The 17,803-nt window shown below is 35.9% G+C and overlaps 1 long non-coding RNA gene across 2 annotated transcripts in view; it reads left to right on the plus strand.

Annotated features, from left to right (window-relative positions):
• The first annotated feature begins 380 nt into the window (after positions 1 to 380).
• LINC02223 (long intergenic non-protein coding RNA 2223) overlaps positions 381 to 17,803 on the plus strand; it is a 123,216-nt gene continuing 105,793 nt past the window's right edge. The window contains exons 1-2 of one of the 2 annotated variants that reach the window (NR_134286.1): positions 381 to 501; positions 4,559 to 4,656. This is a non-coding gene — a long non-coding RNA (long intergenic non-protein coding RNA 2223). Of the gene's footprint in view, positions 502 to 4,262; positions 4,963 to 17,803 lie in introns of those variants that run through there. The other variant, NR_134287.1, reaches the window with a different exon arrangement.

Here is a 17,803-nt window from a genome sequence, read left to right on the forward strand (position 1 = left end):
AATTGATAGCCAGTACAGAAATTTAACACAGAAAATGAAAAAAAAAGCAAAGAAGAAAGAATGGTGTGTGTGTGTGCGCATATGTATGTGTATGTGCTTGTGCATAGGCAGACATATGGAGTAATTAGGCAGGGAGAATAAAAGTGCATCAGTGTAGAGGTTGTGTCCTTTTTATGAGATGAGGAAATTATTTCTGGACAATTATCATTACTTCTAGTTTTCCAGAGTAATATGCAGTTCACAGGCTGGAGAGCCAATCTGGTACTTAAAAAGGAGAGATTCTTGCTTTCTTTGAAGCAGCATAGCGTCTCAGGGTGTTGGTTGAGTACCACAGAAACAGAGATGCATGTTCTCTACATGCTGGAAGCAGTCATCCTGTTGCTAAGGAAACAGCCTCACTCAGCAAGGGTCACCTTTGGAAACAACGGCAAGACTTCAAAGCAGATCAATAGAGAAATACCAAGACCTGAACTTCCTAGCAAATGCTCTCTTCTATTTTAAATATCCTTTTCAACAAATGTTTGCTTATGTGATTTCTGTTTAGTGGGCAGTAGCAAGGCAAAATTGAATGTGTAATAAGTCGAGCCCAGTATTTTTCAAGCTCTGGCTCTTGGAGATCTGTGGTTTTTGGTAGATGCTTTGAGTGTGGGATTGTGCAGGAACAGCAGGATGGAGATGGATTGATATCAGGTTTAAAAAGAGATGCTGCATTTATGGCTTCATTCGAGGGAAAGGTTCCACTCACTAAAAAATGTAGATTCTTTCCTCATGCAACACACTTCATTACTCATGTGTCCACATTAGTGAGATTTTTTTAATTTCTGAAAATGTCTTGTCATATCTTAGGTTTATGCACATTTTTGTGTCACTAAAGAATATTTCATTCATGTATTCATTTGTTCATTCATTTGTCAAATATCTTTGATTTTCTACTGTTTCAGGTACTCTGGGGATAAGAAGTGAATAGAACATATTTAAGTTCTGGGGGACTCAATCTGAAGAAGAAAGCAGATACGGAAATAAAACAGTGGAATCACTTGCAGAGGAAACACAAGGAAATGCTTATAATTTTTTCCTGGGGAGGTGAGGGAAGGCATTTGGGGAAAGAAAATGCCCGATATTATCCTTGAAACATGGATTAGAACTGAACAGGGAATCTAGTCCTAGAAGTCCCAAGACAGAGACAACAGCAAATACTAAGTGCAGAGAGGTGAGGAAGAGATTTCATTTGGCTTCTGTTGATGAAGTTTAGGATATATTATGAAATGTGTTTCGACAGGAGGCCAGAAAATGAAACTGGGCCTGGATCATAAAAGTTCTTACTTAATATAAAAATAAGTATATACTTTACTGCTAGTTTTTCAGATTTTTTAAATTTAATGTTATAATAAATAGAGCCTAGCTTGGTATTATTCCTCCCTTACCCCTTTGACAATATAAAATTTGTTACAAATACCTAACTGCTTTCAGATGCCTGAATGAACTGGAATTTCAGCAGCTATTTATCATCTAAATCAAGAATTGTAAAATTTAGTGATAAGTTCTTGCTATTAACACTCACAAAAATATTTGATTTATTAAAAGATGAATAATTGATTTTTATAACTGGGGTTAGGACAATTTCTGTTTTCAAGATAACTAGTAAAATTAAGTTGTTGGCTTCAACCATTTCTTGAAATCATATACTTTTTTTGGTAGAAAATTTAAGTGACAAATGCAGATAGCTGTTCTCTCTCCTAAAGTGTTATGAGCCACACTGAAATGCACCTTGTTAACTCTTCCTTTATAAGGGACAAGAATGAAACTTGTGTACAAGAAAATGTGGCGGGTGCCGTTGTTTGGGAGCTAGAGCTTGTTGGCCTCATCTAAGTTAGCCACCTGTTCTAGCCTGCATTTGCTGAATAAATTAGATGCTCTTGGGAGAGTGTATGCAGCTGACTGGGTTGCCTTGTTACCTAGGCAACCATTTTTCTTCTGCTCTATGACTCTGAAAGGTTTCATAACTCATTAGTGCTCCTCTGGGCATCAATGAGACAAAATTCCTTTCTTTTCTTTTTTAAGTTCCTGGTCAAGATGATGAGATTAGTGACAATTAATAAATACTCTTACCATATTTGTTTATTTATACAGGATATTTTCCAAATGTTTGAAAAACTTAGGTCCAGACCTTAAAGGCACAAACATAACAGTTAAATGGAGGAATGTGCACAATAATGAATAAAAAATGAAAAACATTTTCAATCTCAGATATTTTCAAAGATTGAAAATATTTTTCAAGTGGAGTTTAAGACAATATGTAAAAACATAGATTCTCTAAGACAGTGGATGAAAACGTATTTTTATAATTATTCCAGCTGTTATCTCCATCAGGCCTTTTTTACTCTGTCTGATATGGCACAAGAAAGAGCACAAGTTAGCAAAGCTGTTATCAGATCCATAAAGCCATTAATTCAGGGGCTAAGTGATCATTTTCAGAATGCCACAGGGCCCAAGGAGTCATGGAGGGATGGCCGACCCTATAATATGGGAACACCATCAGAAATCCATGCAGGCGTTTAATCCTGACATTTAGACCCCAGGATATTTGTTTTCTTATATTTTGTGATCCGTATTTCTTGTCTTTCCTCTCTTCCTTTATATGTTGTCCCTTTTTATTTCATATCTTCATGCATTAGAAGAAATCAGTTAGCCTCCCACACAGGTAAATTTCTTAAATAGTCACCTTATACTAGGAATTCTACATATTATCCCACTTGCTTCATTTCTCATGTCAACTCAATGAGATGGATATCATTTATCTCATTTTACAGGTGAGTAGACTGAGGCCAAAGGTAGCAGAGTTGGTATTTAGATTGAGTTGTAGCTCATTCCAAAGGCATACTTTCTCACTATGCGGTGGTGTCTCTAAAGTTCTATAATAATGACGTATATCCTTTCTGAACGTTGGAGTATTAGGGAGAAAAAAAAGATGATATTTTGATACATTAAAATTAAGCCTCTAAGAGGGCTCTTGTTCTATTTTTTGTTTGTTTGTTTTGTTTTGTTTTTTGACAAGTAGAATGCAACTCTAGGCTCTGCCAAATTCACTGTAGTGCTGGAGCTTTTGTACAGATTATGGGAATAGCCTTATCATACATGGCAATTTCTTTGACACTACTTTTTATTATCCTTCTATAAGTACTAGAGAAACTGATTGAAACTGAACCTTAAACTCCCATTCTGTACCGATCTTACTTGTTGTTTGTAGTTGAAGAATAACATCCTGCTGATATCCACTGCAGGACCGCTAGGACCTCCGTTAGAGATTAAGCTCATGTTTTGATTGTAGACAAACCTTAGTGAAATTAGATTTACCCTAGTTTCTTATTTTCTAGTGATTGTGCATCCTGAGATTTCAAAGGTGGAAATCATATTTTCAAATACACATTTCATTGATAGATACAGGAAAATTTTAAGATACGGCCAAATCATGAATAGACAGTTTTTAAAAAGTACAGTTAGCAGTGTCCAATAAAGCAGTGCAAATATTTTACATGGTGTGAAGGCAGGGGGATTATGTTTTTTTGTTAAGCACATTGTGATTGATCCCTGCTGTAGTTAAAGATTAACACTTCACTAGACATCACAAACATGCAGGAGGAGCACAGAGACGTTATTCTTCTAGAATACAGGGATTTGACAAAAGAAGAAAACACATACTTGCATTTGCTACAAGCATGATTAATTTGCTTTTTTTCTCTCCTATTTCCAGCATCAATGTAATGTCTGAAAGTTAGAAGAATATGGCAATTATTTTCAGTCTGAAAAATAATGTTATGCAAAGGCATTCTATTTGCTTTTTGAGAAACACCTTTATTTTCTTTATTTGCCTCTGCCATTCTCTTCCACATTTACCTAGATTAGATTAAAATACTACTTTTGTGCTCCAAATAGTGTTCTGGTGCCCTTGTTTATTCAATGTGCTTTCAGCAACATTTATGGTCTCTCTTGTATGAGGTACTCTGCTCAGCGCTGGGCACCCAGAGATGAACATGCAGTCCCTCTGTACCATGAGCTCAGCTTTGTGAGGGAGACATATAAGGCAGTCAGTGGTCTCTGTAGGTTAAGTACTGTCATGGAGGATAATGCACCTGTGGGTTGAAGGATCTATTAGAAAGTATTTTCAAATGGAGAGATTCTTCCAGCATCTACTCACACTGAATCTGAATCACCCTCAGTGCTTTGTACTACAGACCATTGTCCCTAACACTTGCCTCAAACACACCCTACCCCTCAAAGAATGGCAATCCTCCCAGATGTCTCCTCATCTCTATTGCGTATTTCTGCAACACCTATGATTAAGTTGCTTGATGACCATTAGAGGCCACAGCACCAATCAGGAGAGCAGCTTACAGGCATGAAGTCCGCGGGCACTTCCCACCAACATTGGAAAGCAACACATTCATGGGATCAGGATTCATTCTGCTGTTGTTTTAAATCTAAATTTTAAGTACCTCTCTATTTTCACACAGAAGAACTCATATTAAACATATTGATCTCTAACTTGATTTGTTCTCAAATAATTTGAAGACCTTTTGGTGTACTCAAGTCACAAAGGATATTTGGTGGTGGACCGTGGACAATCCAGACCAAACCTCCAGAGGGAAGGCAACCAAGGTTGTGCTGGAGAGGCCAGAAGCAGCAAATCATTAAGTCATTTCCATGATGGACTATACTCACTCTGTCTTTTGCCTCTGGTTGTGCCTGTTCTACTTTGTAAATTCCAAAGAGAGAATTTTTATCTAGGTTGGGCCATATGTCTCTGCACTAGATCAGTCAACCATGGCCGAAGAGACTGGTAGAAGTGACCATTGGAAGCATCATTATGAGCTCTCCAGCCACTCCAGCTTGTGCTCTGCAATTACACTGGTTTTACCCTCATTTCCTTGAGCCAGTTTCTAAATAAAAGCAACTTACCACAACTAACTTCCAATTTATTGTCTCAAGTTTGAATTACTGGGCAAGGCCTCTTTTTTAAACTTTATTTCTTCTTACTTTATGTTATCAGGATCACTATTTTTTGTATGCATATACATATATATACAGACACACACATAATTTTTGTGTATGTGTGCATGTGTGTGTGTATATACATATATATACATACACACAAAAAATAGTGATCCTGATAACATAAAAGAGATTTTATATATATATAAATATATATATAAATATATATATAAATATATATATAAATATATATATAAATATATATATAAATATATATATAAATATATATATAAATATATATATAAATATATATATAAATATATATATAAATATATATATAAATATATATATAAATATATATATAAATATATATATATAAATATATATATAAATATATATATATAAATATATATATAAATATATATATATAAATATATATATAAATATATATATATAAATATATATATAAATATATATATATAAATATATATATATAAATATATATATATATATAAAAATATATATAGAGATAGGATCTCACTCTCACTATATTGCCCAGCCTGGTTTGGAACTCATAAGCTCAACTAATCCTCCTTCCTATTTATATATCTATATATTATATATAATATGTACATATCTATTAATATATATAATATTTATATATCTATTTTGTTATATATGTAATATATAAATAGAGACAGGATCTCACTGTCACTACATTGCCCAGCCTGGTTTCAAACTCTTGAGCTCAAGCAATCCTCCTGCCTTAGTCTCTCAAAGCACTGGGATTACAGGCATGAGCCACCGAGCACAGCCCCAGGACCATCAGAACCACCATTAACTTCTATTTCTCCCCTTGTTTTGTTTTCTTTATGAGTAATATTGTTTTGCCATAAACTTCCATATGGCTTAATTGATCTTGATTTTACTCAAAAATGATTCCTGTCCTCTACAGGATTACATGACCTACGGCTTCCCATATAGTGACTCTCCTACTATGGAGTTCTCTTCTCTGTGAGGAACTCTCAGTTAATTTTCCACTGTCTCTGGAGTGGGTTTTTACTAAGATGAATCTTAACAGTAGAATCATGAACAAATGAATGGAGGCAAAAGGAAGGAAATACTTTTAGGAGACACAGGAGTGCAGTATATGTGTGGATGTAAGGATAGCTGAGTCTGGAAAGGTAAGAACAGGCCATGAAGAATTTGAAAGCAATGAGAACCCCATGAAGAATTTTAAACAGAGGAATGACGTGATTAGATATGCATATCAGGAGGGAGGTTAGCTTGATGTAAGACTTGGTGGCCATTGAAGGGCTAGTGAAATAACCTAAAGAAATAATAAAGTTGAAACCACGGTAGTGGCAGTAAAGGTGGAAAGTGGAGAAGAAATATGTGAAATGTTTAGGAGGCGGAATTTATAGTACCGGTGGAGTAATGAGGGAGAGAGTTGAGGCTGACTCTGAAGGCTTGGGGATGTTGATGCTACGACTTTGGAATGGCTGAGTCAAGCAAATTAACATATGCTTTACCTTACATACTTATCATTTTTTTGTGTGTGGTAAAATCTACTCTCTTGGCAAGTTTTACATGTACAATGCATTGCTATTAACTGTAGTCACCATGTTGTACAATAGATCTCCTGAAATACTCCTCTTATCCAATTGAAATTTCGTATCCTTTTCCTCAAATTTTCCTAATCTCCATCTTGCACCTCTAGTCCCTGGGGGCTAACCAACATTCTAATTTCTGCTTCTGTAAGTTTCATTTTTTAGATTCAACACATAAGTGAGATCATGTAGTATTTGGTTTTTTGTGCCTAACTTAGTTCATTTAGCATAATATCCCCCAGGTTCATCCATGTTCCTGCAAAAAGCAGGTTCTTCTTTTTTAAGGCTGAATAATAGTCCATTGTGTACATACACTACATTTTCTTTAACCGTTCATCCATTGATGGATACTTAGGTGGATTTCATATTGTGACTGTTGTGAATAATGCTGCAATGAACATGAGAGGGCAGATCTCTCTTCAAAAAACTGATTTTATTTTCTTTGAATATATACCCAGAAGTAGAATTGCTGGATCATATGGTAGTTTTATTTTTAATTTTTTGAGGAATTCCATGTTTTTTTCCACAACGGCTGTACTAATTTACATTCCCACCAACAATGTGCAAAAGTTCCCTTTCCTCCACATCCTTGCCAATGCTTGTTATCTCATCTTTTTCACAATAACTATTCTAATAGGTGTGAGGTGATATCTCATTGTCATTTTAATTGGCATATATCTGATGATTTGAGAGACTGAATATTTTTCCATATATCTATAGACCATTTGTATGTTTTCTTTTGAAAAATGTCTTCAGGTTCCTTGCCCATTTTTAAATTGGGTTGTTTGTTTCATCGTTACTGAATTGTTTGAGTTTCTTATATACGTTGAATATTAACCCATTATCACATGTGTGTTTTGAGAATTTTCCCTCCCATTTCATAGGTTGTCTCTTCACTCTGTTTCCTTTGCTGTGCAGTAGGCTTTTAGTTTATTGCAATCCTAGTTTTCTGTTTTTACTTTCGTTGCCTGTGCTTTTGAAGTTCTGTGAAATTCTTAACCTTACAATCTGATTGCTGATTCCTAACTGATGGGGCACTCAGGATTTCTAACCCCTTCCTTGTTTCTGACCTCTGATAAGCACTGATAAATTAATACAGCCATTATAAAAACATCTGAAATTTCAGCCTGTTAACTTAAGAGTTAACAAAATAGGAATAGTCCTTTCATTTTTTAGTGATAAAATGTTACATTTTTATTAAAATGTTAAAGAAAATATAGAAATACAAAATGAAGAAAATAAATATAGAAATACGTATTGAAAGATATAAAGTATCTCAAGATTATATGCCCTATACCCAGTGATAATTATTGCCAACCTTTTATTATACATCTTTTATTTTTCCTCTCCTTTTTTCCCCCTTTGGGCTTTTTTTATTTTAAAACATAGTCTTGCTCTGTCACTCAGGCTGGAGTGCAGTGGTGCAATCATAGCTTACTGCAGCCTTGATCTTCTGGATTCAAGTGATCCTCCCTCCTCAGCCTCCCAAGTAGATGGGACCACAGTTGATCTCCACCACACCTGGGCAATTTAAAAAATTTTTGGTAGAGACAAGGTCTGGATAGGTTGCCAGGCTGGTCTCAAACTCCTGGCCTCAAGTGATCCTCCTGCCTCCACCTCCCAAAGTGTTGGATTACAGGCATGAGCCACCACACTCAGTCTATTACATATTCTTTAATATTTAAATTGATGCCCTCTGGAGATTTCTCTGTTTACTCTTCATACTATCTAGTATAAGCATTTTTATTTGATTGTAAAAATATAATCTACATCTTTTAATGTACACAACAGGTTAAGATTTTCATCTTGCTCTTTGATGGCCACCTGTTTTTCTCTTGGCTCTTCCATAATTTATGTAACTAATCTCCTTATGGTCATTGAGTTATTTCCAATTTTTTAAATTACATACAACATTAGGATGGGTACATTTCTACAAATATCTTTGCACATTTGCTGATTATTTCCATAGCATGCATTCTCAGATGTGGACTTTCTGGTCAAAAATAGGAATGTTAACATTTTAATGTATGTTGCCACATTTCTGCCATTAGTTTACAAGATTATTACTTTCTTTCTGCACTGTTGCCAAAAATTCTTTTAAAGTGTCTGCCAATTTGATAGGTGATCAGAGTCTTACAATTGCCTGGCTCTCCAGGTCCTTATCCATATCTTGGGATCTTGTGCTGCAGCTACCATGAATAACGAAGACTTCAGAAATCCATCATCTCTCTAAAGGGGATTTTCTTAGTATTGAAAACAAATTTGGGTTTTACTTCTTAGATTAACTACTTAGTAGTCACTCTTTTTTTTTTTTTTTGAGATGGAGTCTCGCTCTGTTGCCCAGGGTGGAGTGCAGTGGCGCGATCTTGGCTCACTGCAACCTCTGCCTCCTAGGCTCAAGTGATTCTCCTGCCTCAGCCTCCTGAGTAGCTGGGATTACAGGTGTGCACCACCACGCTTGGCTAATTTTTGTATTTTTAGTAGAGATGGGGTTTCATCATGTTGGTCAGGCTATTCTCGAACTCCTGACCTCGTGAACCGCCCACCTTGGCCTCCCAAAGTGCTGGGATTACAGGCGTGAGCTACCGCGCCCAGCCAGTAGTCACTCTTTTATCACTGCTAGATGAACCCTTTCTTTAAGTGATATCTCTACTACTAAAATGCTTAGCAAGAATCTCTTCGAGGATATGAAATTTCCTGCAAGAATCAATTTCCTCTTCCACTCTTCCCATAGATATGCTTTTTCAAAAAAAAAATCTAGTTCTCTTGTTTCAAATATATCAACAATATTTGTTCGTATTTGCTTTTTTTTTTTTTTTTTCAGTAGGCAAATTGTTCATGTTTGGCCAGAACTGGATGGATAATATATTCTGTAACTTGGACAACTAGGGCAGAAGACCCTCCTCAAGTGATGATGGTAATAGTGCAAACTGATTCAAAAGCAGACTTCTTGGACAAGGCATGTGACCAGATTCTGTGGCTGAACTTCTGACTTCCAAAGGTTTACTCACAGTTGGGACTTTCTTCCTTTTTGAATCACACTGACCAGGATTTTGTTGAGAGAACACACACAGTGTGGGTAATGTTTCTGTCCTGTCTTTAGTTTTTGATATAGAGACTTCTTTGCTATAAAATTGAACTGTGTAACATTGATTAAGATTACTCAGGGGAACACTATATCACAACAAATGGTTGAGGCAATTCCAAGACTATTGTATTTCATGGTTCCTTCCTCCTCATTCCGCTGGGGCTGACACCTGGCAACCTCTAGTTCCATTTCTATATCAAAGGTTTAATCATGCAGATACTTTCACAATCAATTTTTTTTCCCACTTCTTCAACAGAATATGAGTTATTTAAGGACACAGAATCTTTGTAAATGATCTCAGTATTCCCCACACACCTATCCTGCCGAAGGATTTATTTAGGATTCAAGAGATACTGAATGAATTAACTTTTAACTATGAGTTATGCTTCTAAGGAAGAATGCAGACATATCAAAGGTATAATAAATTCCTAAGCTTTTTCCCATTTTACTGCTACCAAGTTTATTCAGGCTACCTCTATTCTCTCACATCTCAAAGCTTTCCCAAGCAACATAGAAGAGATAAATGGCTAACCTTGGCGGTGATTACTCATGGTATTAATCTAGTTCACATCAGAGGAATTTGGTACTACTCAGAATGCATCTGGTGTCTAGTGATTCAAAGGTTGTCATTCTGCCTTTTATCTTGGGAGAGTTCTGGTTATTTGCTCATGGTCTCACCATGCCCTGATGCTGGTTGATTCCTTTGTTTAAAAGATTTGGTCTTTTCCATCGTTTGGAGGCAAATCTATAATGGCACTATGTGATGGAGTGCTCTTTGGAATATTGTCTAGGGATGTCATTAAGACACTGTTTACATTATTTGGAAAGTAATGTACCCAGCACCTCCTTAAATCATCTGTGTTTACAATCATTTTCCAAAAAAGTGGGTTAAGATGAGCTCTATCCTTATGACTATGCTGTCACTTTTGAACCAGGCTAACAAATCCATTTGATGGGACATATTCATGTTGGGATCTAGGACTATGAACAGACAAAAAAAAAAAAAACTGAAGTTTGGGTTTCTTTTTCTTTTTCTGCATCTGATGGTATAGCTTTCTTTGGAATACTTATATTTCTAACAATTTCCTTGTCTTGAGTCAAATAACAATTATGGAGAGATCTATTCTTCATCCTGAACTTCTGGAATTCTTGGCAAAGAGAAAAGGTAGCAATTCATGACATTTGATCTACAGGGAACCTATTATTTAGGAAAGATGAGAGAATGATAAATGGAGGAAAATATTTTTCTGGACCAAATGCAGCATTTTAAAATTTTTAATCTGCCTGTTGGTCCAAGTCAGTGTTTCCCAAACCTTACTGCACATTAGAAATCCCTGGGGTGTTTTAATAATAATAATAATAATAACAATATTAATAAATGATAAAAAAGGCAAAGGTCTTATCTCAAGTACTCTGATTCAAATTTGGGGTTTGTGTCTGGTTGTTTTGATTTTTAAAGCCCTTAAGTAATTCTAATATGCAGCCTGATTTAAAACCACTGGTCTATGTAGCAACACCCCATGATATTCTGATATTGCCCTTTAATATTTTCTTAACAATTTTTTTCATAGTTTTCTTAGTTGCTCACAGTGTTTGCAACATTCTTCTGGCATCTCTCAAACATCTCTCATGTTAAAATAAGAAAAATATGCTTTTTATAAAGAAGAGACTTCACTGTGGATATGTAATTTCTCTCACAATGTGTTTTCATGACATGGAATGAGCATGGCTCAAATATGCAGGGATGGCAATGATTTCTTTGGCTTTAGCTTCTTTGGTCTTATCAGGACTTTGTATCAGGGTCCTCATGTGTTTTCAAACTTACCATCGATCTGCTAATAAATTCATATTGTTTTGTACCAGAAAATCCTGAATGATTTGCTTTCAGTCAGTTAGAAACAACTTTTATCCCTCACTGAGATGAGTTCCTCCTAACCAGATGCTCTTCAAAGTAAATCACCTCTTGGGCAACCCAGTCACTATTTCCTTCTCTGTCACCGTTGGCACGCAGGTCTACAGCAAGGCCGCATGACACTTCAACTCTATAAACATAAATGAGATAATAAATGACAAGGTCTCCCGAAAACACCTTTTCAACTTTAGGGTCAATGAACTCTGATCTAAATAAACACTTTAGCAGACCACCAAAAGTCAGACACAACAGCCAGAAGAATAGTCCTAATTTCTTCTGTAATTTTATTTGTTGCAGTTAATTAGCACCAAATAAAATTGTTATGCAGGGACATGGACTCCTAGCATGTGCACATACATACAGTATTTCATTAAAAATATGCTACTGATGTCTAAGGCCCGGTGCTGGCTGTCATAGGGACTATACACTTTCATTGGACATAATCTCTTAAGAAATTTACTATCTATCATCAGAGAGCTAAGGTAGGTATACAAAGATGTAAAACACAAGGTCACAGTGATAAGGGCTATGAGACTGGTACACACTAAATCCCAGTATTTAGAGAGAGTCTTTTCCGCCAGCATGAGATGCGGAGAAGACAGTTTTTCAATGAGATCCTAGGCAAAATCATGAAGGTGAGAAAACTTTTAATGCTATATTTTAAGAAATTAGGGCAGCTCCTGATAATTCTCTCTCTCATTCCAGCTCCCAAATTACTAAACCAAATATATTTTTCATCCTAAATCATGATTGAATGTATTAATTTGTCCCCATTTCTTCAACCTCTAGGTTTAAGCTATCACCATTTTTCCACTGAACAACTAAAAAAGCCCCTTGACTCTTCTCCTAGTATCCATTCTTGGCCATTGCAATGACTGTATGTAATTAGATTAAAAAAATACATATTTTAAATAATTGTAGGTTTACACACAGTTGTAAGAAATACCATGAAGAGATCTTTTGTACTCTTTACCCGGCTTCCTTCAATAGTAATATATTGCAAAACTATAGAACAATTTCAGTAGCAAGATATTGACATTGATACAATCTACCAATCCAGTTTAGATTTTTCCAGTTTGACTTCTGCTCCTGTGTGTGTGTGAACACGTGTTTGTGTGTGTGTATATGTGTATTTATTTCTATGCAGTTTTGTCACATACGTAGGCTTCTACATCTACCACTACAGTCAAAATACAGACCAGCCCCATCACCGCAATGATCCCTCTTTTTGCCTCTTTATAATTACCCACCTCTTTCCCATTACCTGCTTCTCCCCATCCCTAAACCCCAGCAACCACTAATCTGTCTTACTTTTCTATAATTTTTTCATTTCAAGAAGGTTATATAAATGAAATCATTTTGGAATTGGCTTTTGTCATTTAGTATAATTTCCTTGAGATTCAATCAAATAGTTGTGTGTCTCAATAGCTCACATTTTTTAAATTGCTGACTCATATCCCATCATATTCCGTGGTATGCATACATCAGTTTGTTTAACCAGTCACCCATCGAGGGTCACTTGGGTTGTTTTCAGTTTTGACGTCTTACAAATAAATCGGCTATCAATGTTTATGTACAGGTTTTTGTGTGGCTAAACTTTCCTACTTCTGGGATTAAATGCTCAAAAGTGCATTTTTTAGTATAGTAATTGCACAATAATCTCATATAAATACGATCTGATTGGGTCACTCTCCTTTTTAAAACCTTTCAATGACCTCCCATGACTCTTAGCATCAAGCCAGCAGGTCTAGAAAGCCTTGAAATACCTGGGGTCTGCTCTCCTTATCCAGTGCCTTGACCTTCCTCTCCCTCTGTTTCTCTCCTTCAGACACGCGGGCTTTCCTTCCATTTCTTAAATGTGCCATGCTTTTATCCTACCACAGAGCTTTGGAAGATACAGTTCACTCTCAGAATTTTTCACTTTTCCCTTCTCTATGCTGTTTAATTAAACTCTCTCTCTTCTTTCATATTTCAGTTCAAATCTCATCCTTGCCGGGGATATCTTCAATGCTACCAGATGTCTCCCTCTATTACATGTCCTGAGAACACTTTATTCTTTCCTTCTGTAGCAAGAGTTTGTATGACGTACTTATTCTTTTGAATATTTGTTTCATGGCCATTTCTTTTCATTGGATCACTACTCTGTGTATCTCACTGTTATTAGTGAAAACTCCTTGGTAGAACCTATGACTTGCTACTGACCAATAGAATATGACAAAGATGATGAGATGCCACTTCTGTGATTCCATTCCTGTGATTCCATGATTGCGTTACATCATTCTCACTTAGCAACCGAGAGAGGGGGAGAAAGGGAAAAAGAGGGAGAGACAGAGAGAGAGGGAGGGAGGGAGGGAGGGAGAGAGAGAAAGAAAGTATTTGTCTTTCTGGCTTTTATGAAGTAAGCAACCATGTTGAGGCAGTCCATCTGACAAGGTACTGCAGGTGGCTTCTAGAAGCTGTGAGCAGGCTCCAGCTGATGGCCAGAAAAAAATGTTGGGGTCTTCAGTCATACATCCTTAAGGAAATGAATTCTGGCACAAACATGAGAGAGCTTTGAAGCAGATTCTGATCCAGTTGAGTTTCCAGATGAAAATGGAGTCTAGACAAAACCTTTATCTCAGCCTTGTGAGATTCTGAACAGAGGGCCCAGGTAAGCCGTGCCTAGACTCCTGATTTCCCCCAAATTGTGAGACAGAAGCTAACCCACTGGCTTCCATTACAACACCGTAACCATGAGTTATGGTCAGTGGCATGGGCACTGAAGTGTTACATATACCACCCCTGGACTTTGCTCAAAAAAAACTTTCTGCAAGACCCTCCCCAACATTTTCCCCAGGTTATTAGCCCGATTTTGAGCAGAGATTCAAGTACAGTAGACTAGAGGGACTCTGGGCGGTTAATCATTGCATGGGAGGTTGCTTACTGAATGCCTGCAATTGTTTATTATAAGGTATCACTACGAATTTGGTGATTTCTTGTTAAATTAGCTGATATTATTTAGTTTAGCCAAAACCCTATATTCTTGAGATATAGAAATAATATTTGACAGCAGGATCAGGGTTTAATACCTTAACAATGAAAGCTGGAAAAATATCAGAAGATAGGATGACAAAACAACCAGAGTATCTTTAAAAATCTCCCTAATGTCTAAAGGAATGAAACTTAGACTGTTCTTATTCTATGACTATGTCACTTAGTAATAATTCATACAAAAGTTGCTGTTTTTCACACCTTTGAAACATTTTTCCTTGGAAATAACTTCAGGCAATGAGGAAAAATTTGCCTGACCTTCAGAGTGCCCTTCTTGGGAATGTTTCTCTTCTTTGCTAGTTCTACCATATTTTTACAAATAACAAGAAACATCAGGTGAGCTAGCCAATAGACCATTGCATTTCACATTCACTCTCAAATCACAAAGCAGAACAAGTGGTTCCTTTTGTAGCCTCATCAGTGCTTGCTATAACATAATCTCCCATCCTTATGTATAGCAAAGACAGTCTCTTTCTTTCAGCTGTTTGCTTTCTAACTGCATTGAGTTCTTCGGCCAATTTAGCAATAACTGCATGAATAGAATATTTCCATGCAACCCAAAACAATGTCATAAAGAAACTGCAAAAGAAAAAGTAAAACTATAATGACAATGGAAGTGGCAACTTTTTTTTAACTGTAGGAGATATACTTTACATCAAATTAGTAGAACACCAATGTGATGGTTGGTCTGCAACTGATTAGAATTGCTATGAATTCTTTTACCCTGTCATCCAGTTCATAATTCTTATGCTCTTTATCTCAAATTTAGTCATCTTAAAACACACTAAGCTTTTTTTTTTTTTTTTGAGACGGAATCTCACTCTGTCACCCAGGCTGGAGTGCAGTGGCGTGATCTCAGCTCGCTGCAACCTCCACCTCCCAGGTTAAAGCAATTCTCCTGCCTCAGCCTCCTGAGTAGTTAGGTTTACAGGCACGTGCCACCATGCCCGGCTAATTTTTGTATTTTTAGTAGAGACGGGGTTTCACCATGTTGGTCAGGCTGGTCTTGAACTCCTGACCTTGGATCCACCTGCCTCGGCCTTCCAAAGTGCTGGGATTACAGGCATGAGCCACCGCGCCCAGCAAAATCCACTAAGCTTTTGCATAATAAAGCTTATGGCATTCATGTCCATGGGGGTACATTTTTCCCTCACATCCACCATTATATCACCTCAAGGGATAACATTTCCTAGCAAGCCAACTTTCTTGCAAGTCAATATGTATTGTTGACTTAATCCGAATTAGTGCTTATATATTTTGATGGGTCAGTTCCATTTTCTTAATGGTAAAAAGTTTGTTGTTATACAATTTGATGATTTAATACTCTATCGATATTAAGTAGTTTTAATAATATGGGATATCTTCCCAATGTTATAATGATGGATTATTCTTACAACAAAAATACATGGCTAATTTATTTTTTTTAATAAAGACCAATAAAATCTAAAATAAACAAGAAGTCTATTATGAAATGACGAAGAGATTTATTAGCTTTCATTATGGTCCCAAAATGTGGTCTAATAGCACTAAACTCAGTCAATGCTAAAGTCATAGAGGCTAAAATAGAATAAACAAACAAATAAATAAATGATTATGCTGTTTCTTGGCATCAATTATCATGCCTTATATATATTTTTATATATCATTATATATTTATATAATATATAAATATATTTATATATAAGGCATGATAATTGATATATATTTATATATCAATATATTTATATATTTATATAAATATATTTTATATAATATATAATTTATTATATATTATATATATATAAATAGATATATATTTCAAATCTATTTGGACTGTGTCCCCAAAATTATTTTATGTTGAAGGAAATGTAAACTCATCTTTAAAAATTAAGACATTACCACTGACCCCACAGAATTACACACACGTACACAAACGGTGACTATTATGAACACCTCTATGCACACAAACTAGAAAATTTAGAAGAAATGGATAAATTCCGGGACACATACAACCTCTGAAGACTGAGCCAGGAAGAAATTGAATCCCTGAACTCAGCATTGAGTTCTGAAATTGAATGAGTAACAAAAAGCCCACCAACCAGAAAAAGCCCAAGACCAGATGGATTTGCAGCCAAATTCTACCAGATGTATAAAGAAGAGCTGGTACCAATCCTGCTGAAACTGTTCCAAAAAACTGAGGAAGAAGGACTTCTCATCAACTCATTCTATGAGGCTAGCATCATCCTGATAACAAAACCTGGCAGAGACACAACAAAAAAAGAAAACTTCAGGCCAATATTTTTGATGAACATAGATACAAAAATACTCAACAAAATACAAGCAAACTGAATCCAGCAGCACATAAAAAAGCTAATCAGCTACAATCAAGTAGGCTTTATCCCCAGAATATGAGGTTGGTTCAACATATGCAAATCAATAAATGTGATTCATTATATCAACAGAGCTGAAGACAAAAACTACAATTACTCAATGGATGCAGAAAGGCTTTCAATAAAATTCAACATTCCTTGATGTTGGAAACCCTTCACAAACTAGGCACTGAAAGAACATATTTCAAAAATAATAAGAGTCATCTATGATAAACCCACAGCCAACATTATACTGAAAGGAGAAAAACTGGAAGTATTCCCCTTGAAAACTGGCATAAGACAAGGTTGTCCTCCCTCATCACTCTTATTCAACATGATATTGAAAATCTTAGCCAGAGAAATCGGCAAGAGAAAGAAAGAATGGGCATCCAAATAAGAAGAGAACTCAGGGGATCCCTGTTTGCAGACAACATGATTCTATATCTAGAAAACTCCATAGTCTCTGCCCAATCTCTTTGGGCTGATAAACAACTTCAGTAAAGTTTCAGAATACAAAATCTGCATACAAAAATCTGTAGCATTTCTATACCCCAACAACATCCAAATAGGCAAATCAGGAACACAGTTTAATTCATAATTGCCACAAAAAGAATAAAATACCTAGGAATACAGCTAACAAGGGAGGTGAAAGATCTCTACAACAAGAATTACTAAACACTGCTGAAAGAAATCAGAGATGACACAAGCAAGTAGAAAAACATTCCATGCTCATGGCTGGGAAGAATCAATATTATTAAAATGGCCATACTGCCCAAAGCAAATTACAGATTCAATGCTATCCTAGTAAACTACCAGTGACATTATA

The sequence above is a fragment of the Homo sapiens genome, chromosome 5, assembly GCF_000001405.40.
Source record: "Homo sapiens chromosome 5, GRCh38.p14 Primary Assembly".
Taxonomy (NCBI): Eukaryota; Metazoa; Chordata; class Mammalia; order Primates; family Hominidae; genus Homo; species Homo sapiens.